This window comes from Homo sapiens, chromosome 3, assembly GCF_000001405.40.
Source record: "Homo sapiens chromosome 3, GRCh38.p14 Primary Assembly".
In the NCBI taxonomy this organism is placed as follows: Eukaryota; Metazoa; Chordata; class Mammalia; order Primates; family Hominidae; genus Homo; species Homo sapiens.
This window is the reverse complement of record NC_000003.12, coordinates 125,670,682-125,695,923: the sequence shown is the minus strand read 5'-3', so window position 1 is coordinate 125,695,923 and position 25,242 is coordinate 125,670,682. Positions and strand designations below refer to the sequence as shown.

The window sequence follows — 25,242 nt, the reverse complement described above, 5'->3', positions numbered from 1 at the left end:
ATGCTTGAGCCCGCTCTCCCTCAGTCCAATAACCCTTCTGCCAGGTTGAGCAGGGCCCATTCCTCCTTGTCCGGGGCCTCCTGTTCTGAGTCATCTTGTTTTCTTTTGAGCTGAGAGCATTTATTCTTCCACTGTCCTATTTCTTTACAATAAGCACACTGGTTACACTGCAAACTCTGACAGCCAGGCTGAGTTTCTTTCCCAGGGCCCCCCTTCCCTTGCCTCTTTGGGGGGCCCCTGTGATTGCTGCAGCTAACAGGTCAGTATTTTGCCGGCCCTGACCTCCCTTCTCTTTGCTGTTTTCCTTAGGGCTTACTGCATCCCTGTTTACAAACACCTGGCTAGCTATTTCTAGTAATTGTGATGGATTCATCCTTGCAAGCCCAGCCTGTTTCTGCAGTTTTCTTCTCATGTCTTCTGCGCTTTGATGGACTAAAGCCATGTTAATCATGCGCTGATTTCAGGGCTATCAGGATCAAAGGGATTATACATAAGATAGGCCTCACACAGTCTCTGGTAGAATTGTGCTGGACTTTCTTCTTTCCCTGAATGACCTCAGAGACCTTGTTAACGTTTGTGGCCTTCTGAGCTCCCCTCTTGAATCCTTCCAAGAGAGCTTCCCTGTCTCGATTTAGCCTTTGCATATCCTCTCTTTCATGTGGGTACCACTGGGGATCGGGTCCTGGTAACTGGGTCCTTACACACTCTTAGGGGTTTTGATAATCAGCTGGTGCATGTTCCTCTAGCCACTTAGTTGTTGCTTGGAGCACTCTCCGCCTTTCATCTCTGCTGTAGAGGAACATGAGCAACTGCTGGCAATCAGCCCAGGTGGCATTGTGGGTCTGGATAATAGTTTGGAGCAAATCAATTAGAGCTTGTGGCTTTTCGGTATAGGACGGGGTGTTGTTTTTCCAGTTGAGAAGGTCGGCAGAGGTGAAGGGCTGGTAAACAAAAACACGCCTCTCCACCACGTGACCATCTCATCTATCCTAGGATACCGCTGCTCTCTCAGGGGCATTTGTATCCCCGTTTTGGGTCGTAAACGAGCTGCCAAGGGAGGGGTTTCTCCGGAGTCTTCACCTCCTCTCTTGTCTACTCTGGGGGGCCTAGGGATATGCTTGTCTCGCGGAGGCAAGCACTGTGGGCTCAAGAGTGGGGAGCCTCTTGCCCTGGTAAGGGTAGAGCACCACTGGGATGTCTGGTGCCATCTCCTGCAATGGATCTTCTGATGTTGGGTCGAAGAGAACTTCAGGAGTTGATTTCCCTGGGCGGGTGGAGCGGGATCGTTCCTTAGCTATCTGTCCCTTTGCTACTAGTATTGCTGCTGCCTGCCCTCTTAGCCACTGTGGGGGGTCTAGCACCAGCTGTCACCAAGTGTCTATGTATGGGAACTGCTCTAGGTATCCTTTACCAGTTACCTTGTGCCACACCTTAGAAACAAGGGACCTGTCCAGGCTTCCTTCTGATGGCCAACCCACTTCTAATGGTAGGCAATCTATTTCGCACAAGGTTCTAAGTTCCCCTGGTGGTCTATCGGTTAGGATTCAGACCTCTCACCACTGCTACCCATGCTCGATTCCTGGTCAGGGAACCAAGAAATGGAGCAGGAAAACTTCTCAGACAGCCCATTAAAGAAAGAAGAGGGTTTTTTATTCGGCCAGGAGGAGCGTCGGCAGACTCCCATCTTAAGAGCCCAGCTACCCTAAGAAAGAGAGTTCCTGGCCCCTTTAAGGGCTTAAAACTCTAAGGGGTTCCACGTGAAAGGGTCGTGATGGATGAAGTAATGTCACCGTCTACCCTGGCTATCAGGAAGAACATCACTGGGGGGTGTATATTTTCTGCGATATTGTGAGGAACGTCGCAATATTTCTTATCGCAATTAATATCAATTATTAATTGACACTAATAATTATCAATATTAATAACTGATAATATAATTTTAAACATCAATACCAAAGATAATGATAATTAATATTAAATAGTTATACTAATGATAACAATAAATGATTAATATTAATGATTAATAACACCTGATATTAATAACTGATACTGATCTTATCATTAGAAAACACTATTAGCTCCTAATAATTTATATTAATATTAATAATATGAAAAATTTTATTAGCAGTTATTTCTTAATATTAATATTGGTAATTCATATTCATGTTAATAAATGAGTAATAATTAATACTCATACTACGTCTAATACCTCAGTGGGTGTACACCCACCTGTGATATTGTTCCTAATGTCCAGGGAGGGAGAGAGCATGATATTACGTTCAATATCGCAATAGGTGTACACCTACGCGGTGATATTCATCCGAATATAACATCCAGGGGGTGGAGTATGACGTTACTCCCAGTATAGCAGTGGGTGTACATCCACCCGGTGATATTGCTCCTAATATTCACGGAAGAAGAGAATGCTATTACTCCCAGTATCGCAGGAAGTGTACACAACTTCTGTGATATTGTTCCTAATATCCGGACGGGGAGAGGGTGATATTACCCCCAATATCGCAGGTTGTGTACAGCCACCCTGTGATATTGTTCCTAATAGCCAGGAAGGGAGAGGACGATATGACTCCCCATACAGCAGGAGGTGTACACCCACCCTGGGATATTATTCCTAATATCCATGGAGGAGAGGCTGATATTACTCCCAATATCGCAGGGGTTGCACATCCATTCTGTGATATTGTTCTCAATATTCAAAGGCCGAGAGGTTGATATTACTCCCAATATCACAGAAAGTGTACAAACCCGTGTGATATTGTTGCTACTATCCAGAAGAAGAAGAGGATATTACCCCCCATATCGCAGGAGGTGTACACCCACTCTGTGATATTTTTCCTAATAAGCAGGACGGGAGAGGACAATATTCTTCTTAATAGCGCCGGGTGTGTAGAGCCCCCCTGTGATATTGTCCCTAATATTCCAAGGCGGAGAGGATGATATTACTCCCAATACCGCAGAAAGTGTACACCACCCCAGTCATATTGTTCCCATGATCCAGGCGAGAAGCGGAAGATGTTACTTTCAATATGGCATGGGGTGGACACGCCCCCAGTTATATTGTTCCTAATTTCAACGTGGGAGAGGATGATACTACACCCAATGCCGCTGGGGGTAAAAACAGTCCTGTAATATTGTTCTTAATATCCATGGGGAAGAGGATGCTATTATTGCAAATAGTGCAGAGGATGTACCCCCGACTGTGATATAGATGGTAATTTCCAGAGAAGGAGAAGATATTACTGCCAATAAGGTAAACACGCTGTGTGACCACCGTGGACCGCAACATCCAGGGGAGCAGAGAGGTGAGGATATTACTCCCCGCATCGCGGGGGCGCCCGCACCCCTGAGATGTGGATCGTAATATCCAGGGGGGGAGAGGGGTGGGATATTACTTCCCGCATCGCTGGGGGCGCTGGGCCCCTGTGATGTGGATCATAATATCCAGGGGGGGAGAGGGGTGGAGATATTATTCTATTACTCCTTGAGTCTTTTCTCTTCTGCCACACTTGATTAACACCCTGGGACATTATTTTCCATATTCTAGCAAAATGCCATTACTAAAGTCACAGGAGTATTCACCCTGCGATGTTATTCGTAATATTGCGTGGAATGTTAATTCTGATGTCACAGGACTCTACGCACTGTGATATTATTTCCAATAGCCTAGCGGGACACTAATAAGTGTGTCACAATGTGTGTACAACTTGTGGTGTTATTCCTAATCTCCTAAGGGGAGGTTACTTTTATCGTCAGTCGGGGTATATTCTTTTTGATATTGTTCATAGTATCCTAGTGGGATGTCACTCCTTATGTCACAGGGTTTGTACACGTTGTCAAATTACTCTCATTATCCTTATCAGATGTCACTTCTCATATCACAGAGGTTGTACACGCTGTGATATTACCGTCATATTCTAGGGAAATGTTACTTTTCATATCACAGAGGGTGTACAACTTGTGAAATTATTCGTTATAGTTTTGTGGGATGTTACCCTAATGTCATACGGGGTGTACACACAGTGATACTACGTGCAATATTCTATCAAAATGTTACTCATAAATCACAGGTCCTGTACACCCTTTAATATTCTTCATAATATTCTGGGAAAACCTTCCTAGTAATGTCACAGGGCGTGTAGACCCTGTCATGAAATTCGTAATATCCTAGCAGGAGTTCACTACTAATTTCACAATGTGTGTACACCCTTTGATATTATCGTGTTATCCTGAAGAGATGTTACTACTGATGTCCAAGGCAGGTGCATTCTCTGATATTATTCGTTATGTCCTCGGGGGATGTACTTCTAATGTCACACGGGGTGTACTCCCTGTGTTCTATTTCATAATATCCTAGGGCAATTTTACTTTTAATGACACAGTGTGTGTACACATAGTGATATTATTCGTGATATTCTAGAAAGATGTTTCTCCTAATGTCACAGGGGTGTACACCCTGTGTTAGTATTCATAATTTCCCAGAGGTGTATACTCCTATTGTCACACTAGATAATCCCCTGTGACATTATTTGTAATATTCCAGGGAGATGATACTCCTAATGTCACAGGGGGTGTACACCCCATCATATTATTCTTACTATTCTAGAGAAATGTTACTCTTAAAGTCACAGGTGTGTTCCTTCTGTGATATTCTTGAAAATATGTTAGCAAGATATTACTACTAATGTCACAATGCGTGTACACCTTGTGATATTATTAGCAATATTCAGGGTGTTGTTACTCCTAACGTTACAGGGGTGTACACCGTGTGATATTGTTCCCAATATTGTCGGTGGATGTTTCTCCTAATGTCACAGGGGGTGTCCCCTCTCGATATTATTTGTAATCTTATAGAGAGATGTTACTGTAAATATCACAGTGGGTGTACACACATGGGGTACCCCCACTGGGATATTATTTGTAATATCTTTGAGAGATATAACTCCTAATATCACAGTGGGTGTACCCCATGTGTGTACACCTTGTGATATTATTTGTAATATTCATGGTAAACATTACTTCTAGTAACCCACCAGAGAGTACACCCCGTGATATTTTTCATAATATCATAGGGAGATATTGCTGCTAATAACACAGTGGGTGTACACCATGTGTGTACATTCTTGTGATATGATAGCTTATATCCTAGGGAGATATTCCTTCTAATATCACAGTGAGTTTACACCCTGTGATATAATTCATAATATCCTAGAAAGATGTTGCTGCTAATATCACAGAGGGTGTGCCCCCAGTGACATTATTTGTAATATCCTAGGGAGATGTTACTCCTAATGTCACAGGGGGTGTACACCCTGTTATATTATTCATAATATTCTAGGGGGGTGTTACATTTAAAGTCACAGGGTTTTACACCCTGTGATGTTATCCGTAATATCCTAGGAAGAGGTTACTCCTACTATCACGGGTTATCCTAGGAAGAGGTTACTCCTCATATCACACTCCTAATATCACACCCTGTGATAACATTCAGAATCTCCAAAAGGGATGTTACTCTTAATGTCACATAGGGTGTACACCTTTTGATATTATTCGTAAGATCCCAGGGACATATTACTTCAACTATCACATTGGGTGTACACACATGTTGTACACATCATGTGTGAACACCTACTGTGATATTATTCATAATATCCTTGGGAAATGGTACTCCTAATATCACAGTGAGTGTACACACTGTGATATTATTAGTAATATCCTATGGGAATATTACTCCTAAACCAAAGGCCTGTGTACCCCCTATGATATTATTCATAATATTTTAGGGAGATGTTATTCCTAATGTAATATCACAGGGGTGTACACCCTGTGATATTATTCACAGTATATGAGAGGGATATTAGCACTGAAGTCACAATGTGTGTGCACCTTGTGATATTATTCATAACATCCTACGGGGATGTTACTCCTATTGTCACAGGGGTTGTGTTCACTATGATAGTATTTGCAGTCTCCTAGACGGATATTACACCTAATGTCACAGGGTGCGTACATCTTGATATATTATTCGTGATATCCTAAAGAGACATTACTCCTCATGTCACAGGGGCTGTATATACCCTGTGATATTATTCATAATATCCTAGCGAGATGTTACTTTTAATGTCACAGAGGGTGTGCACCTTTTGAAATTATTCATCACAGTTTCGTGGGATGTTACTCCTAATGTCACACGGAGTGCACACCGAAGGATACTACTTGTAATATTCTATAGAAATGTTACTCATAAATCACAGGTGTTCTACACCCTGTAATGTTATGGGTCATATTCTAGGGGAATGTGATATAAATTAATGTCACCCGGTGTGTACACCTTGTGATATTATTTGTAACATCCTAGCGGGATGTTACTACTAATGTCACAATATGTGTACACCCTCTTTCTTATATCCTCATGGGTTATTCCTCCTATGTCACATGGGGTGTACTCCCTGTGACATTATTCAGAATATCTTAGCGGGATTTTACTTTTAATGTCACAAATGGTGTACACATTGTGATATTACTCATGATGTTCTAGAAAGATGTACTCCTAATGTCACAGGGGGTGTACACCCTGTGATATTACACAGGCTAACCCCCTGGGGCATTATTCTTAGTACTTTAGCAGGATGATACTCCTAAAGTCACAGGAGGTGTATGCCCTGTGATATTATTCAGAATATTTCAGGGGGATATTACTCCTAAAGTCACAGGTGCGTATACCCTGTGATAGTATTCACACTAGCGGGATATTACTACTAATGTCACCGTGTGTGTACACCTTCTGATATTATTTGAAATATCCTGAGAGGATGTTACTCCTAGCATCACAGGGGTGTATACCCTGTGTTATTATTAGTACTATTCTAGGGGGATTTTACTTTTAAAATCACAGGGTGTGTCAACCCTGGGATCTTATTCATAATATCCTAGGAAGCTGTTACTCGCAATGTCACATGGGGTGTACACCCTGGGATATTATTTCAAATATCCTAACGGGATGTTATCTTAAGGTCATAGGGTGTGTACACCCCTTGATCTTATTAGTAATATCGTAGGAAGGAGTTACTCACAATGTCACAGAGGGTGTACACCCTGTGAAGTTATTCATAATAGTTTTGGGGTCCGCTACTCCTAATGTCACCCGTAGTGTACAAACAGTGATATTATTCCTAATATTTTATGGAAATGTTACTCCTAATATCACAGGGGCTGTACACCTTGTAATATTATTCATAATATCCTAAGGTAATGTTACCTCTAATGTCATGGGGGGTGTACACCGTATGACATGGCTCCCAATATTGTAGGGAGATGTTACTCCTAATATCACAGGGGGTATTCACACTGTGATAATATTCGTAATATCCTAAATGGATGTTACTGCTAATGTCACAACACTTGTGCAGCCTCTGTATTTGTTCCTTATATCCTTGGCTGAGGTTACTTCTACTGTCACACGGGGTGTACTCCCTGTGATATTATTCATAATATCCTAGGTGGATGTTACTCCTCGTGTCACAGGGGCTGTGCATCTTGTGATATTATTCACAATATCCTAGAAAGATGTTACTCCTCAGGTCACAGGGGATGTACACCCTGTGGTATTATTCATACTATCCTAGGGGAGTTACTCCAAATGTCACAGAAGGTGTATACTCTGTGATATTACTCGTAATGTGTCAGGGAAATGTACTCTTAACACCACAGGGCATGTGCACCATGTGTGCACAGCCCCTGTGATGTTGTTTGTAATATTCTTGAGGGATGTTAATCCTAACATTCCATATGATGTTAACCATGTGCGAACACCTTTGTGGTATTATTCCTAACATACTAGGAGGATGTAACTCTTAACATCACATGGGGTATACGCCATGTGTGTACACATTCTGTGATATTATTCATAACATTGTAGGGAGATGCTACTCCTAATTTTACAAGGTGCGTACATTATATGTGTACTCCCCCTCTGATGTTATTCGTAATATTCTAGGGGAATGTTGCTGCTAATGTCACAGGGACAGTACACCATGTGTATGCAACCCTGGTAATATTATTTCTAATATCTTGGGGGAATGTTGCTCCTAATGTCACCTGGAGTGTACACCATATGTGTACACCTTCTATGATATTATTCATAAATCACAGAAAAAGATTACGCCTAATGTAACAGGATGTGTACACCGTGTGCGTCAACTGCCATTGATATTATTCGTAATATACGAGGGGGATGTGACTTTTAATGTCACAAAGGGTGTACAAAATGTCACAGAGTGGGTATGCCTTATGATATTATTCCTGATATCCAGAAGGATGTTACTCCTAAGGTCACAGGGGGTGTACACCCTTTGATACTATTTGTAGTCTTATAGGGAGATATTACTGTAAATCTACAGTGGGTGTACATTCACTGTGATATTATTTGTAATATCTCAGAGATATTACAGAGTTATAGCTCTCTGTGTTATATTAGAGAGTTTTGTCTCTCTAAGACAATATGAATAATACCACAGTGCGTGTACCTCATGTGTGTACACCCTGTGATATTATTTGTAATATCCATAGTAAACATTACATCTAATATCACAGAGAGTGTACTCCCTTTGATATTTCTCATACTATCATAGGGAGATATTGCTTCTAATATCACAGTGGGTGTACACCATGCGTGTACATTCTGTGATATGATACCTTATATCCTAGGGAGATATCTCTCTGAATATCACAGCGTGTGTACACCTTGTGATATTATTCATATATCATAGAAGGATGTTACTCCCAATATGACAGAGGGTGTACACCCAGTGATATTCTTCATAATATCCTAGGGAGATGTTACTCCTAATGTCACTCGGGGTGTACACCCATGATATTATTCGTAATATTCTAGGGGGATGTTACTTTAAAAGTCACAGGGGGCGTACACCCTGTGATGTCATTCGTAACATCCTAAGAAGATGTTACCCTTAATGTCACATGGGGTGTACACCCTGTGATATTACTCAGAATATCTTATGGGGATGCTACTCCTAATGTCACAGGCTGTGTACACCCTGTGATATTATTCAGAATATCCACAGAGATGTTACTTTTGATGTCACAGACGGGGTCCACACTTTGATATTTTTTGTCATATCTTAGGGAGATATTACTTCAAATATCACAGTGGGTATATACCCACTGTGATGTTATTTGCAATACCCTATGGAAATATAACTTTTAATATCACAGTAGGTGTACACGCTATTTGTGTACACCTTCTTAGAGTTTAAAGGCTTGTGGACAGATGTTTTGAATAAACTAAGCTTCTTAATATATATAAAAAAGGCAAGTTAAAACTGGTATTTATTCTTCTTCAAAATATTTTTCTGTAGTCAATGTAAGTATTTAAGAAGTTGTCAGCGTTTTTAATCTTAAGGAAGTCGGTTGGGGTCCATACCTTATGTCAACTGCACAGATTGTATAGTGTCCAAAGTACCTGTGCATAACATGGGAAGACAAAGGAGGTGGCTCCAGGCTGCCCCGCAGAGTGCCTGGTATTAATCTGAAAACAAACTGTGCCTCTACTCATCGCCAAGCAAACGCTGACTTCACTGGTGCCTGTTGTCTTCATTAGAAGCTCTGCATCAAAACAAATACTCTAATAAATATGCTTGTTATATTTTATTATCTATTCTAGAGATCATCTTTTCATCTTTTTAACTTACCCACATTTTATGTCCTTTGATGCCTTTAACAGGCCCACCAGGGTTTCAGTTAAATAAACAAACTGTTAGGCTGAGAAACTATGTCAAATGGGCACAACTGGCAGGCTATTAATAAATCTAGACACTTAAGAATTTTAGCCTTGACAGAGATACTCCAGTGGGAAATAAACTTAAAATATTCTAGCCCAAAGAAGCCCCCAGCAATGACTCAGTCCAAATAGCGTGAAATATATAGTGTATTTCAGATCTTCCTGGGCTCTGCAGGAATTTGAATTAATCATCTTTTAGACTCATCCTGGGTCAGGAGGAAAGACATTCATTGCTTGGTTAACTATCTGGGAATTTTTTTTCCCTAGCCTGTGTTGGGGAAAGAAGGAATATTTGTTGAGGGACTCTTTTTTTTTTTTTTTTTTTTTTTGAGACAGCGTCTTGCTCTGTCATCCAGGCTGGAGTCCAGTGGTGTGATCACAGCTCACTGCAACTGCAGTCTCGACCTCACAGGCTCAAGCAATCCTCCTGCCTCAGCCTCCTGAGTAGCTAGGACTAGAGGAATGGGCCACCACACCTGGCTAATTTTTGTGTTTTTTGTCGAGACAGTGTGTCGCCATGTTGCCCAGGGTGGTCTTGAACTCCTGGACTCAAGCGACCCACCCGCTTTGGCCTCCCAAAGTGCTGGGATTACAGGCATGAGCCACTGCACCCAGCCATGTTGAGGGACTCTTGAAGTTAATTTGCAGATTTCCTGCACACCCTAATGGGCACTGAGCCCCCAGAAAAGCGAGGAATTCTAAGGAATGCCTCCCTGCACTGCAGGGGAGGTTCGGCAACCTCTGTGCTCTCATCCATTCAGGGAATGCATGCTCCCAAGGCAGGCCTGGCTCTACACACAGTACAATATGGTCCCTCCCTGCAGGGAGCTTACAGTCTGGAGAGGAAGATAATTAAGCAAGTAGAGTAAAAAGAGTGAATTTTCACGGAGTAAATTGTTTTCTCCTCACCTCCAGAGGCCTGGCATGGTGAGCCCCCGCATTCTGAACTCACTTTCTATCACACTGCCCCGTCTACTTTGCTGCAGCCACAGAGGCTGCCATCTTGCTGCTCCTCAAATGAGTCAACCTTGCTCCTGACTCAGGGCCTTGCACTTGCTGTGCTGCCTGCCTGGAGCTCTCTTTCCCCAGGCCATGGACACCTCTGAGGCTTCCTCACAGCACTAAAGATACACCCTCTCACCCTCCTCGATTCACACACCCCACTCACTGGCTTTTTCTCTTTATAATTATTCCTTTGTGACCTGCTCATGTTCTTAACAGCACGTGCCAGCATTTGAAATGAGGCCAGGTGCTGATTGCTGCTGGCATCCCCATCAGAATGTAAGCACCCTGCAGGCAGGGCCCTCAGCTGTCCTGTCTACTGCAATTTCCCCAGAACAATGCCTGGCACTGATCAGTATAGGCGCGCAGTAAAGACTTGTTGATAAGTAAGTGTAATACTAGAAGCACACGGTGTTCAGGGAACGCATTCTGGGGTGATTAGGGTAGGCTTCCCAGAGAAAGTGATATTTGTGGGAGTTTCCAGGATTTGGAGAAGAAGAGAGTCACTAAGGAGGGGAGGCAGAGAAAGCATGAAGGGCTGGCTGCAGAAATCGCATTTGAGGGCTGCACCAGCAATCTCGATGATCGCAAAATATCGGCAAAAGGCGAGAGGTGAGAAAGAGCCCCTGCATCTGGCCTTTGGCACAGTATCTGCTGAGCTCTCAGAATAAGCTTGCTTGCAGCAGAGCTGCCCCTCAACCACCCCTGAGAGAAGACAACTGGAGGGACACGCGTTGCTCCATGGCGCCACTTTGTGGCCAGAGCCCTTGGAAGCAGGCGCGTGTGTTCATCGCTTGTGTCTGGCTGGACATCTCCCTCCTCTGATTTTCTGATGGCCAAACAAACACACAATACTGTAGCAAAGTGGATCCTTTGGGAAAACCCCTCCTCAGTCTTGGCATTTGTAAGGATTGTATCTTGTTTAAAGGTGGGCTCTGCTGGACAATCATAATCACAGCACATACCTATGGAGGGTATGTGCTATCCTATGCTCTGGGGATACTTTGCACATTCATTCACTTAATCCTCACAGTACCGTGACTGTCAGCATCTCCATTTCACACAAGAGGAAGCTGAGGTCTGGAATGCTAAAATGCCAGGGTGCAGGGCTAGTAAGTGGCAGAGCAGGACTCACACCCAGGCCGCTGGCTCCACATCCATGCTCCCCACCATGGCCTGGTGCCACACTAAGGGCAAGAGAGGGCTGGACCTGGACAGCTAAGGGAGGGGTGAAGCAGCCATCAGTGCAGTAGGGAACAAACACCTCCACTGTGATCATCTCTCCCAGCCCAGGCTGTCCCCCAAGGACCCAGAGCCAACGGGGCTGCCAATCAAGTCAGAAAAACTCCACAGTGGAGGACAGTGCAGGGAGCAGCCCCGAGCCTCCCGAGTGTCTCAGGGCACCATGCCAGGGGGTGTCACTCTGCCAGGCTCACCCTGCTCCAATCCTGTGCCAAGAGAGCCCAAATGCTGCCGGGCCTGAGAGTGCAGCTGCGTTCTCAGCCTTGTTCACCATTTATGGTATCTGAGCCTGTCTGGTCTTTATAGCCCAGTACATCCCCCACACTGGGAGGGGGTTCTCTCATGCAGGCCTCTTCTCAGAACAAATCCAAACTTACTTGGCAGAGTTTTTGCCTGGGACCTCTCTGTGCCTTTTTTTTTTTTTTTTTTTTTTTGTGGATGGGTGGTGATCCTTCAGGCCCCAGCCCCCACAGGCCCAGGAGTCAGGAGAATGGCCCTAAAGAGTTCTTGATCTTTCGCCTGGGACTCCCACCTCCAGGGGACTCTTAGCTCAGCTGGGTCACTCTAATCCAATCTAAACACAGGCAAGCCAGGACAGACATTGGATTAGCCCTTGGCTGTGGCTGTGGAGGGAGAGTCTCAGAAAACAGAGGGCTGAGCCATGTGGCTCTACGTGTAGCATTCTGACTCTTGCTGCCCCTTACTCGACTCGGGTTGGCCATGCTGGCCTCCAAGAAGAGCCCCCAGGTGGAAGGTGAGTCCTGCTCCCTGACCCTCAGAGACAAGGTTCTCAGCAGTTCAGGTTTCCTCTGAAATCTCATTATCACAATTTCCTGAGCTCCCCACCTGGCTCCCAGGGAGTCATGAAGTTAGAACTATGAGGATAAATGAGTAAGTTTGTAAACCAGAATCTGGCTGCAAATTCCCAGAGGCCAGAGTTGGGCTCTGAGCCCAGTGTGATAGGTTTCCTGGAAGGAAGAGGTGGACCAGTTTCCCAATAACGACTCTATGCTGAGGCATCTCTTCAGTTAGAGCACCCAGAGAGCATGCTCACTCCTGGCAGAGAGCTTCACGGAGCCAGGCTCGGCCACATTCTCCATCAGTGCCAGTTCCTTCATCCCTAAGGGACTGACACTGCCCAGCCCACAGTGGCCAGTCTTCCCCTTTGGGCCAGGGGACGTGCCCTCTGAAAAAGGTCAGGGCATAGGAATGAGTGCAGACTTGAAAGTCACAGGCTGTGGGCTCCAGGGTCCAGATTTGCAGACTAGTGTGATGTGCTTAGGCAAGTTACATTCACTTCCTGAGACTTCCAGAGCCTTCCATCTGAAATCAGGACAGCATCCTTGTCCCCTAGGCTACTGAGGTCTCAGTGAGAGAATACGGGTGAGGTGAAAGTATTTAACACAGTAAGCCACAAATGTTTCTTCCCCTTTCCTTTTCTGCGAAACTTCCTCCTGCAGCCTCCCAGACAGTGGCTACTCATACAACACGGAGATGTTCCTGACAGGCCTGAGCCCCAGGGAATGGAGAGATGTATCCTCCTGCTTGTCTGATGGGAGACCAGTCACGCTGCACTCAGTGCTAGCACCAGAGGACCCAGTCATGCACAGGAGCCGGGGGCGTAGGCTCAGGGTGATGGTGGGATCAGGCTTACCTGAAAGCCCTGGACCCAAGAAGCACTTCCGTGGGAACTGTCACCAGGCCTGCTGATACCACAGCCCAGACAGATCTGTCTTGAGTCTGTGGCTCCCTGCAATTCCCAGGGACTAAGTGCTTGGCTGATGAATGGATGACCATGATAATCAGATTACTGGAGACCAGGCTGCTGATGTGTAAAAACAAGCCTGGGCCCGTGAGTAGAAAGGGGGCAGAAAGGGGACAACCTGTGACCCTCTGGAAGCCTCAGTGTGCACTCTGTGACCCAGGGTCCCCCAGCATGTAAGGGGTCACTGGGAGGCCACTGACTGCTCAGGGAATACGTGAGTGCTCTCCCAAGTCCTTTTGTAGTGTGCGAGGTTTTCTTCTGACCAGACCTGGAGCTTCTGGAGCTAAGGGAGCCCTATCTCTTTCCCCCATACCTTTCCATGGCCCCAGTGGAGAGAGGGGGTGAGGAAAAGGCCACCTCTGATGACACCCTTGTCGCTGTGAACTCCTGGAGGTCATCTCCCTCACTTCCTACCTGCAGGTGCAGCACTTTTTAAGGACCCTCTCCTCTGTCCCTAAGAGGTTGCAGCAGCCACTCCTCTGTCACGGCACCTGCCGCTGCCAGTGGTGTGGAGTAGTGCCATGTGCACCTCTGCTCCCTGGATTTTAGCTCATGATACCATTTTCTACAAATGTGCCCTTCTTCCAAAGCAGAAGTGTCTGCAGGAAAGGTGCTTCTACTCGGGTGACCAGAGGCTCCTACCACGGACGGTGACCCGGGCGCTACAGGACACCTGCCCCAAGGCATTCTCAGCCAGGCAGGTGTAGGTGCCATGGTCCTCCGGCAGGGCATCCTGGATGTGGAGCTCAGCCACGCCGGCCTCGCAGGTGGAGCGAGCATACTGGATGGGCTGCCCTGTGGAGGAAGCACAGGGAGGCTCAGGCCAGGCAGCACTGGCAGTAGGGATGGGAGCCCTGTCCTCAGCAGGGCTGCTGCTGTCATGACGCTGAGACTTGTCATGCTTGCTCAGATCCATTGAGGGCTAACAATGTGTCATGCACATCTCCAGCTGGGCTAGGTTTGATATCCACTTGGGGCCTGATGCCTACCTTGGGCACGATGTCCATCTAGTGCCTGGTGTCCACTTGGGACCTGGGTATTGACCTGGGGCCTAGGTGTCCACTTCAGGTCTGACGTCCTTTTATCACCCCGGGCCCTGATGTCCACCTCGGGACTGGGTATCCATCTGGGGCCTGATGTCCACCTTGTGTCAGATGTCAATCTGGAGCTTGATGTCTACCTGGGACCTTATGTCCACCTCAGGACTGGTATACACCTTGGGCCTGGTGTCCACCTGGGGTCTGACATACATCTGCAGACTAGGTATGAACATGGGGCCTTGTGTCTACCTGGAGCATGAGTGTCAACCGAGGGCTTGATGTTCACCTACAGTCCAGTGTCCTCCTTGGGCCTATGTCAAATTGAGGCTGGGTATTTACCTGGGGCATGGTTGTCTGCTTGAGGTCTAATGTTGACCACCTAGTTCATGGTGTCAGCCTGGGGCTGGTGTTCACCTGAAGCCTGATGTTCACCTGGGGCCTATTGTCCACCAGAGTCCTGGCATCTGCCTTGAGCCTGATGGCCCCTGGTGACAGGGTATCCACCTTGGGCCTGATGTCAAACTTGGGCGTAGGTATCCACTTAGGAATTAGTATTGACCTGGGGCCCGATATCTACCTAGGACCAGATGTTCAGATGGGGACTGGAGTTCTCTTGGGTCTGGTGTGTACCCGGGGCCTGGGCATCATCCTGGGGCTTGAGGTGCCTCTTGGGATGTCCACCTGGCGCCAAATGTCCACTTGGTGCCTGATGTCTACCTGGGGCTTGGTGTTCACCTGAGTCCTGATATTCACCTGGGGCCTGGGTGTCCATGTGGAACCTGATGTGTGGCTGGGGCCTGGGCTTCCTTCTGGGGCTGGGTATCAACCTGGGGCCTGATGTTCACCAGGTGCCTAGGTATCTACCTGAGGCCTGGGGCCCATCTAGGGCCGGACGTACACCTGGGGCCTAGGCATCCACCTGGGGCCTGATATTCTTCTGGGACTTGAAGTTCACCTGGGTCCTTGTGTCCAGCTACAGCCTGATGTCCACCTAGGGCCTGGTGTTCACTTGGGGCCTGATGTAACCCGGAACTTAGGTGTCCACCTAGGGCCTGGTTTCCACCTGGGGTCTGATATCCACCCAGAGTCTGGTGTTCACCTGGGGCCTTTTGTTCCCCTGAATCATGGGTGTTTACTTGGGGCCTGATGTCTACTGGAGTCCAGCATCTACCTGGGGCCTGATGTTCACCTGGAGCCTGGGTGTCCACCTGGATCCTGGTGTCAACTGGGGACCTGGGTATTTACCTGATACCCGAGTGTAAACCTGTGGCCCATGGACCAGGGGAATATGGAAATTCAGAGGATGGGGCATAGTGACAGGCATGCATGGCTCTGACCATGGATGGAGGGCTGTCACTCTGATTTGTCTGGCTACTTGTGTGGCTCCAAATCATCATTTACAGCATCTTTTTGATGAATCCAACCATTCTGTACTGAAACTTTATTTCTCTGCTTGTTAGGTCTCTAAACCACGCTAGTGGCTGACATTCTTCACTGCAACCCGAGAGCCACCACCTTCTCCCCAAGTGTCTCCCCATGGGTGCACAACAGGTGGCCCTTGCCGAGGGATTGTTCCTGCTGTCACTGCTGCTCACTGAGAAGCCAAAAGGAGGGAAGTCTAGAAGTAACAGAGAGCTCCACCAGCAGGTGGGGAAAGAGAGAAAGGACCTTCAGGACTATCCTTTAACAAGGTCCATGGGCATTATCCCTTGGGCTTTCCTGCAAGGTGTTGGAGATTGGCTGGCTTACAGAAAACACATGTGAAGATAAACTTATTTCCACGACCCTGGTCTTGACCATTAGGTTTTATCATGGTCAGCAGTTGTGGAGAGTGTCGGGTTTAGGGTCAGTGGGATGAAGACCAAACAGGGTATATGGCAAACAACCACAGAGGTGGACAAAGTTGTAACTAGGCAAAAGGAGATGAGGCACACTGGATTTCAAACAACTTATGCCAGGCCTGAAAATGGAAGCCAAAGCAGCAACCATATTAAATACATTTATGACACCAATTGAAGCAGATGTGGTGGCTATTTCAATGTTCACCGATAATTATTACATTTAGGAAAAATTTAGTGGAGATAGCTTTTCACAGAAAGAGTCCTCTGAAACTTTACCAAAAAGTATACAGAAGATAGAGTATTTATATAAAAGGGCCAGTTCTCATTGAAAGGCAAGCTCTGCCATGGAATGGGTTTTCTTTAATGGGTTTATAATGAGCTGCAGGCGGTCATCTAGAGCTATGTTGAATTATGAGGTTATTAATGGTATTGAGGGAAGAAGCAAGTAATCAGCAGTAGAGTTTAATAGCTCTTTAAAAATGCCCTTGACCTGGCACAGAGGCACATGCCTGTAATTCCACACTTCGGAAGGCCGAGGTGGGTGGATCACCTGAGGTCAGCAGTTCGAGACCAGCCTGGAGAACATGACAAAACCCCGTCTCTACTAAAATTACAAAAAAATTAGCTGGGCGTGGTGGCTGGCACCGGTAATCCCAGCTACTCAGGACGCTGGGGCAGGAGAATCCCTTGAACCTGGGAGACGGAGGTTGCAATGAGCCGAGATCGCACCATTGCACTCCAGCCTGGACAACAACAGTGAGACTCCAGCTCAAGAAAAAAAAAATGCCCTTGACCTCAATGAACTGTTTCAAATGTATCTTTTTTTTTAATTCTCTTTTTTTATTTTTAAAATTTTTTATTTTTAAGTTTTGTGGGTACACAGTAGGTATATAAATTTATGGGGGACATGAGATGTTTTGATACAGACATGCAATGTGGGATGTGTATATGTGTATGTATATGTGTATACACAGTTGGCCCTCCACATCCATGGTTTCTGTATCCATAGATTCAACTAACCTTGGGTTGAAACTATTTGGGAAAAAAGGATGGTTGTAACTGTGCTGAACATGTAAAGACTTTCTATTGTTATTATTTCCTAAACAATACAATATAACTGTAACTTACCATTTACATAGTATTATGTATTGTTGGCAATCTACAGATGATTTAAAGTTACAGGATGATGTGCATAGGTTATATCAAATACTACACCATTTGATATAAGGCAACCTCTACCTCCCGGGTTCAAGCAATTCTCCTGCCTCAGCCTCCCGCCATTCCCTATGCCCCGGTGTGGGTGAAGGCAACCGACGAGGGAGGAGGGTGACACCCGCTGGGGGCCGCGTTGCATAGGCCACCTGTGTGTGTGTGGGTGCCCTGCCACCCTGGCCTGGATGCCTGGCCCTTCGATTCTGAAATTAGCTGGGATTACAGGCATGCGCCACCATGCCCAGCTAATTTTTTGTATTTTTAGTAGAGATGGGGTTTCACCATGCTGGCCAGGCTGGTCTCAAACTCCTGACCTTGTGATCAGCCTGCCTGGGCCTCCCAAAGTGCTGAGATTACAGGCGTGAGCCACCGCGCCCAGCCAACCTCATCTTTCTTCTGTGGATAAATCCTTCTCACTCTCTTTCTAGCCTTTCTACCAAATAGAGCAAACTGATTCCTCTTTCCAGTTACTCCAAGTACTCTTGCCTTCATTTGCATGTTTTATTTTCATTATAATTACATTAGCATTAAAACAGGCATCTTATTTTCAGTACAACCAGAAATGGTGCATGCACTTTTTCTGTTACTGAGATGTCAACTCTATTTGTTTAAATTCTATGTTTTTGGCTCATTTCATTTCTGTGACTACAAAAATATAAACATTCAACAGTTTCTACCTTCTTGTTGTGCCTGTTTATCCTCATGGTTTTATTGATTCATACATGTTTTCCCGAACTCAACGACTTCTCAGATTCTATTTCTACTAAGAAATATGATACTGTGAACACCCTCAATACAAAGAGTCCCTCTTCTAATCAGTCCTGCACACTCAGCTTATCAAACACTTTGTGACTCACAGATAGATACACAATCTTGAAGACTCTACAGAGTTTGAAGACAGTGGATATCCTGAGCTTTATTCCCTGCTACCAGCATTATAAATGCTAGTGGGCCCCAGAGTGAATCCACAGAGGAGTACTGAAGAGTCCCCAAAAACCCATGATAGGGACTTTTAACCAATTTATCCTTTTTAAAGGGCTTTACTACCTAACAGATCTTCTTATCCAACGCATCTATAATTAACACTGCCCCCAAATTACTTTCCTATAAGGTTATGTATTTCCCATCAGTTATCTATTTTGTAAACCAACAACATTTATAGATGTTAAGCAAGTAATTGAAAACTCACGGCCAGGTGTGGTGGCTCACGCCTGTAATCCCAGCACTTTGGGAGGCCAAGGCAGGTGAATGACTTGAGGCCAGGAGTTCGAGACCAACCTGGCCAACATGGTGAAACCCCATCTCTACTAAAAATACAAAAAGTAGCCAGGCTTGGTAGCATACACCTGTAATCCCAGCTACTCAGGAGGCTGAGGCAGGAGAATCGCTTGAACTGTAGAGGCAGAGGTTGCAGTGAGCTGAGATCATGCCACTGCACTCTAGCCTGGGCAACAGAGTGAAACTCTGTCTCAAAAAAAAAAGAAAAGAAAAGAAAACTCACAATGCTTTAGATCAGGTTCTTTGCATTAAAAATTCAAAACATGAGCAGAAAATGATATATGTTTGTTCAAATAGAAGCAGTCATAAAATAATTAAATGTAAGTTATCATTGCATAATCTGCTCAAAGGGTACATCTGTCTAAGTTCTAATGACATTCAAAGTCCCAAATTTTAGGTTCCCCCACAGGTCCTTTACAATTTTCTTTGAAGATAGAATATTTTTTAAAAATTATTTTATGATAAAGACTAAAATTATGATATGAAAACATGTGGTATATATTATATTAAGGAAACAAGCTTGTTGCAGGCTTTGGATGCAAATTTACTCTGAGTCTCCCAGCAAGCAACAACAGAGGGTCGCAAACAGCAGTGTTTTATTTTAGGCTCAGCCATGGTGCAGCCTCCTTGAGGTAATGCTCTGAATGTTGACAGGCGGCATTACCTCTTTGGGTGGCTTAGAAACTGCCACAGGATGGCCATCATGCCACATTCCATGATGCCGAGGGTCCCAGCAGTGAGATGGCAGTGGCTAATCTCTGAGTCACTGAGCTCCTTCGGCCTGCTCTCTTGTCACCCTTGTTTCTATATTTCAACTGCTCAGAGCTGGATTTGCTTTATGATTTTGGTGATGTGTGAAGAAAATCAGTGTAGCAGATGGAAAGAATTCAAGCCATTTTTTTTAGCAAATGCCACATTTCTGCCAATTATGTATTTTGTTTCTTGTAGTAAAATCCCCAACATGTCATTTTTCAGCATGTCAGGTAAGCCTTATCACTTGCTTGTTTAAGTAATATCAGGTGTACTATTTCCTTGCAGAGGAGAAAGGCCTCCACATTTGGTTTTTATGTTCACAACAACTTGGTTCATGGCTTACAACAAACAGAAAGAAACAGTTCTTTAGAGCACAGCCAGAGGCAGAGGCCACAGCCTTGCTTGAGCTTCTACGGTTAGAGACATGACAGGCCGGGAGCGGTGGCTCATGCCTGTAATCCCAGCACTTTGGGAGGCCGAGGCGGGCGGATCATGAGGTCAGGAGATCGAGACCATTCTGGCTAACACGGTGAAACCCAGTCTCTACTAAAAATACAAAAAATTAGCCGGGTGTGGTGGTGGGCGCCTGTAGTCCCAGCTACTCAGGAGGCTGCGGCAGGAGAAGGGCGTGAACCCGGGAGGCGGAGCTTGTAGTGAGCCGAGATCGAGATCGTGCCACTGCACTCCAGCCTGGGCGACAGAGCGAGACTCTGTCTCAAAAAAAAAAAAAAAAAAAAAAAAAAAAGAGACACGATTGAGACCCTGACACTGACAGCAGCTACAGGTGATGCAAGGAGCCAGTACTGAGCTTGGAGCAGACCCTCAACTCCAGTCCTGACTCTGCCAGCCTGTTACTCCAGGTCACCAACAGCTTCTCATAGCCTGAGTTGCTGCAATAGTAAAATCAAAATAAGGCAGACCTCAAAAGATTTAATTAGGAATAAGTGAGATTATGAATATAAACTTGTTGGTATGTTAAAAGGCATCTTATAAGGGGTTGTGATGCTCCTATTATGAGTTGTAAATGTTTTTGCCAATTTTGTCTACTTAAAGTTAGTAATTAAGTCACTGGTATCATGTGGATTTAAAATTTTTCACATATTTTTGTGTCTGACTTTATGCCAAAAGTCCAAATAAAGAGTATTTAGCTAATAATCTGGATAGCATAGCAAACACACATGTCATTAGATTATAGACAAAATAGCTATACTTCTGAGAGAGTTTTAAAATTGCTGTTTACCATTATGGAAACTGAGATGAAGAAAGTCTTTGTAAATTGTACCTTGTAACCTAAGCAATCTAGTAGCTAAGTTATCAAATACCAAATTTATGTAGAATGTTAAAACAACAATTCTCATTAAAAATCTAAGCACAAATGGTTTGGAGTCATCATCCAAATAAGTAGTCATCGTTGTCTCTTTATACACGTATTTATGTATACATATACTAGTAAGACAGAAAGAGCTACAACCATATAAAGAAATGAGATAATAATATGTTTTATAAAAATATGAACACATACACCTATGTACTGTACATATATATAATTACATATACATATGTATTGCATATATATGAATACATATACAGGTATATTGTGTATACATACACATACACATCTTCATGAGACCAATGCCAGGTCTCTATCCCAGAACAATTATGTTGGAATATATAGGGTGACTGCAACACTCGTGCCTAGTAAAAAGCTCCCGGGTGATCTTAACCAGGGCTGAGAACCACTGCTATACCTCTGCATCTGAAAGTCCTCTGAGTAGCTCATATTCTGTATGCACTTAAGTTACACTGGCCCATATGTGTCTATTCAGACTAGAATGATAATACTTATGGCAACATGAAAAGTCTTCCTCTGATAAACTAATTCACTGAACTTTTCATTGCCTCCTAGGAAGGGACAACTGACATCAGTTACCTCCTGGTTTCCATTGTGGTGGGTGGAAACACAGTATACTTTATGACGCCAACAAATGGTGTGATGGAGGGCCTTTCCACTTTTACCCAGTCTCTATGTTGCTTTTCATCTTTCTCATAGCCACATACTAGACCTCTCCAAGTCTGGACTGACAAATTTTATTTTTAGGTATTTATTTGTAGTTCTTGAGACTCTAAGCCCTCATCATCTTCCACGGCTACTCCTGAAATTCTAACCTTCTTAGTGGTCTAGAGTCCAAGGGAGCCTTTGTGAGTTATGACTCCCCACACCTGTCTCTTCTCTGGGACTGTGTAAGCTTTGGTGGTCTGGAAGATAGGAGGTCTATGCTGCAGCTGAATTCAGCAGGGGGCAGGACACAGGAGACACAAGGAGGGAAGAGAGAGTTTATTCCCAAGTAAATGCCACAGCATTGGCTCGTTAAAATTTCCACTCCCCTTATATTGTAGAAGATTTAGAACTACTAATAAATGCTAATTCCCATGGAGTTCTCACATTAATGGAAAACTCAAAATGAAATATTGATTGGATATATGCTAACATGTTGGTGGTCATCACACAGATTTCAAACTAAAAAGTACTGTTTTGATTTCAAATTACCAGTTTCCCGCCTTTTATACCTAGAAAGAATAAAATGTGTCATAGGTAAACGGTTTTTATTTATGTGTCTAAATGGCATTTATGCAGCTTCCCACACGCTAGGTTTTGTGCTAGGCACAGTCACCCAGTGGCAAATTACAGACATTGCCCTTCTGAGACTCTGTTTTGTGAACTAAACACAGAGAATAAAACCGATTGCCGGGGCTGAAAATAATCGAAAACTTTTCACAATGTATCCAGAGTCCCAGCAGACAAATCATATTTAAATTAGGTAAAGGAAAAAAGAGAAGAAATGATCAGTTATTGATCACACTGAAAACACATACATCATCTGAGAAAACCTGAAGCTTTATTTCAGGATCTGTTTGGGTGTAAGAACGTCTCATTTCAAAACGGAGAAGTGTGTACACATATAAAATAGGCCACCCTAAAAAAGGCATGGTGGCCAAGCGCCGAGGCTCACATCTGTAAACCCAGTGTGTCCAGAATTGGTGGGTTCTTGGTCTCACTGACTTCAAGAATGAAGCCTCAGACCCTGGCGGTGAGTGTTACAGTTCTTAAAAGCAGTGTGTCAGGAGTTTGTTCCTTCTGATATTTGGACATGTTTGGAGTTTCTTCCTTGTGATGGGTTGCTGGTCTCACTGGCTCAGGAGTGAAGCTGCAGACCTTTGTGATTACTGTTACAGCTCATAAAGGCAGTGCGGACCCAAACAGTAAGCAGCAGCAAGAGTCCTTGCAAAGAGCGAAAAAACAAACTTACCACACCGCAGAAAGGGACCCCCACTTGGTTGCTGCTGCTGGCTCGGGCAGCCTGCTTTTATTGCCTTATCTGACCCCACCCACATCCTGCTGATTGGCCCATTTTTCAGAGAGCTGATTGGTCTGTTTTACAGAGAGCTGATTGGTCCATTTTGACAGGGTGCTGATTGGTGTGTTTACAATCCCTGAGCTAGACACAAAGTTCTCCAAGTCCCTGCTAGATTAGCTAGACACAGAGCACTGATTGGTGTATTTACAAACCTTGAGCTAGACACAGAGTGCTGATTGGTGTATTTACAATCCTTTAGCTAGACATAAAGGTTTTCTAAGTCACCACCAGATTAGCTAGATACAGAGTGCTGATTGGTGCATTCACAAACCTTGAGCTAGACAAGAGAGTGCTGATTGGTGTCTCTACAATCCGTTAGCTAGACTTAAAGGTTTTCCAAGTCCCCACTAGACTCAGGAGGCCAGCTGGCTTCACCTAGTGGATCCCCCACAGCGGCGGTAGGCAGAGCTACCCACCAGTCCCACACTGTGTGCCGGCACTCCTCAGCCTGGCAGTCGATGGGACCCAGCGCCGCAGAGCAGGGGGTGGCGCCCATTGGGGAGGCTCGGGCCATGCAGGAGCCCATGGCAGTGGGGAGGCTTGGGCCATGCAGGAGCCCACGGCAGTGGGGAAGCCGGGGCCATGCAGGAGCCCACGGTGGTGGGGAGGCTCAGGCATGGCGGGCTGCAGGTCCTGAGCCCTGCCCCGCGGGGAGGCAGCTGAGCCCGGCAAGAATTCCAGCGCAGAGCCAGCAGGCCAGCACTGCTGGGGGACCCCATGCACCCTCTGCAGCTGCTGGCCCGGGTGCTAAGCCCGTCACTGCCTGGGGCCGGCGGTGCCAGCCAGCCGCTCCAAGTGCGGGCTGGCCCAGCCCACGCCCACTCAGAACTCGCGCTGGCCCGGGAGCGCCATGCGCAGCCCTGGTTCCGGCCTGCGCCTCTCCCTCCGCACCTACCCACAAGCAGAGGGAGCTGGCTCTGGCCTCGGCCAGCCCAGAGAGGGGCGCCCACAGTGCAGTGGCGGGCCAAGGGGCTCCTCGAGTGCGGCCAGAGTGGGCGCCAGCGAGGCCGAGGAGGTGCCAAGAGCCAGCAAGGGCTGCCAGCATGCTGTCACCTCTCACCAGCACTTTGGGAGGCCAAGGCAGACAGATCATGAGGTCAGGAGATCAAGACCATCCTGGCCAACATGGTGAAACCCCATCTCTACTAAAAATACAAAAATTAACCAGATGTAGTGGTGCACGCCTGTAGTCTCAGCTACTCAGGAGGCTGAGGCAGGAGAATTGCTTGAACCCGGGAGGCAGAGGCTGCAGTGAGCGGAGATTGCACCACTGCACTCCAGCCTGGGTGACAGAACGAGACTTCCTCTCAAAAAAAAAAAGGCATGGTTCCCACATAAATGTGTGAAATCATGTGACTGATGGTGATAAGATTCTGGCAACATGTTTGTGTCTGACAGACACCACCACTCATCCCCTGATTTTGGCATCTGACAAATCTCACCCTCCCTCACACTGGTCGCTCATGTCCTGAGATACCTATCTGAGTGGCACTTTCCCCAAAGCCCAAATGCAGACATTTAAGGTGCCAATTTTCAGCCTGGGGTCCAATTTGCAAAACAGAATATTTCTTCATTTAAAAAAAAAACAAGGAAAACAGAGTCATATCAGGTAAGCACTTGTTCAGGGAAAATATGATTTTAAATTTGTTGTAAATGGACTTGAAAAGGCTCCTTTGAATTAGGCAGGCTTTTGTGAAAAGTCCTAACATTCACATAGTTGAAGGATTTAGCTGTGCATAACAATATATGATAATGAAACCTTAGCAGACTGTGTTCACTAACATTGTTTGTAAATAGCACACTTTTACAAAGTATTAGTGTATTGTTACTTAATCTATCTACATTTGTACAAAGTAAAGCTTTCCCCTTACCCTTTTGC

At 45.4% G+C, this 25,242-nt stretch overlaps 3 pseudogenes, besides 1 other annotated feature; 1 reads left to right on the top strand and 2 right to left on the bottom strand.

The window, feature by feature from the left end:
- Positions 13,794-15,199, bottom strand: MYLKP2 (MYLK pseudogene 2; annotated as a pseudogene).
- Positions 14,823-15,337, top strand: LOC100419966 (uncharacterized; annotated as a pseudogene).
- YTHDF3P1 (YTHDF3 pseudogene 1) lies at positions 16,143-16,351 on the bottom strand (annotated as a pseudogene).
- Positions 24,066-24,740: an enhancer, noted in NCBI's record as "H3K27ac-H3K4me1 hESC enhancer chr3:125390028-125390702 (GRCh37/hg19 assembly coordinates)". NCBI's record gives its function as "activates a minimal SCP1, AML or CMV promoter by ChIP-STARR-seq in primed H9 embryonic stem cells {active_cell/tissue: H9 hESC(primed)}" and the evidence as "EXISTENCE:reporter gene assay evidence [ECO:0000049][PMID:30033119]".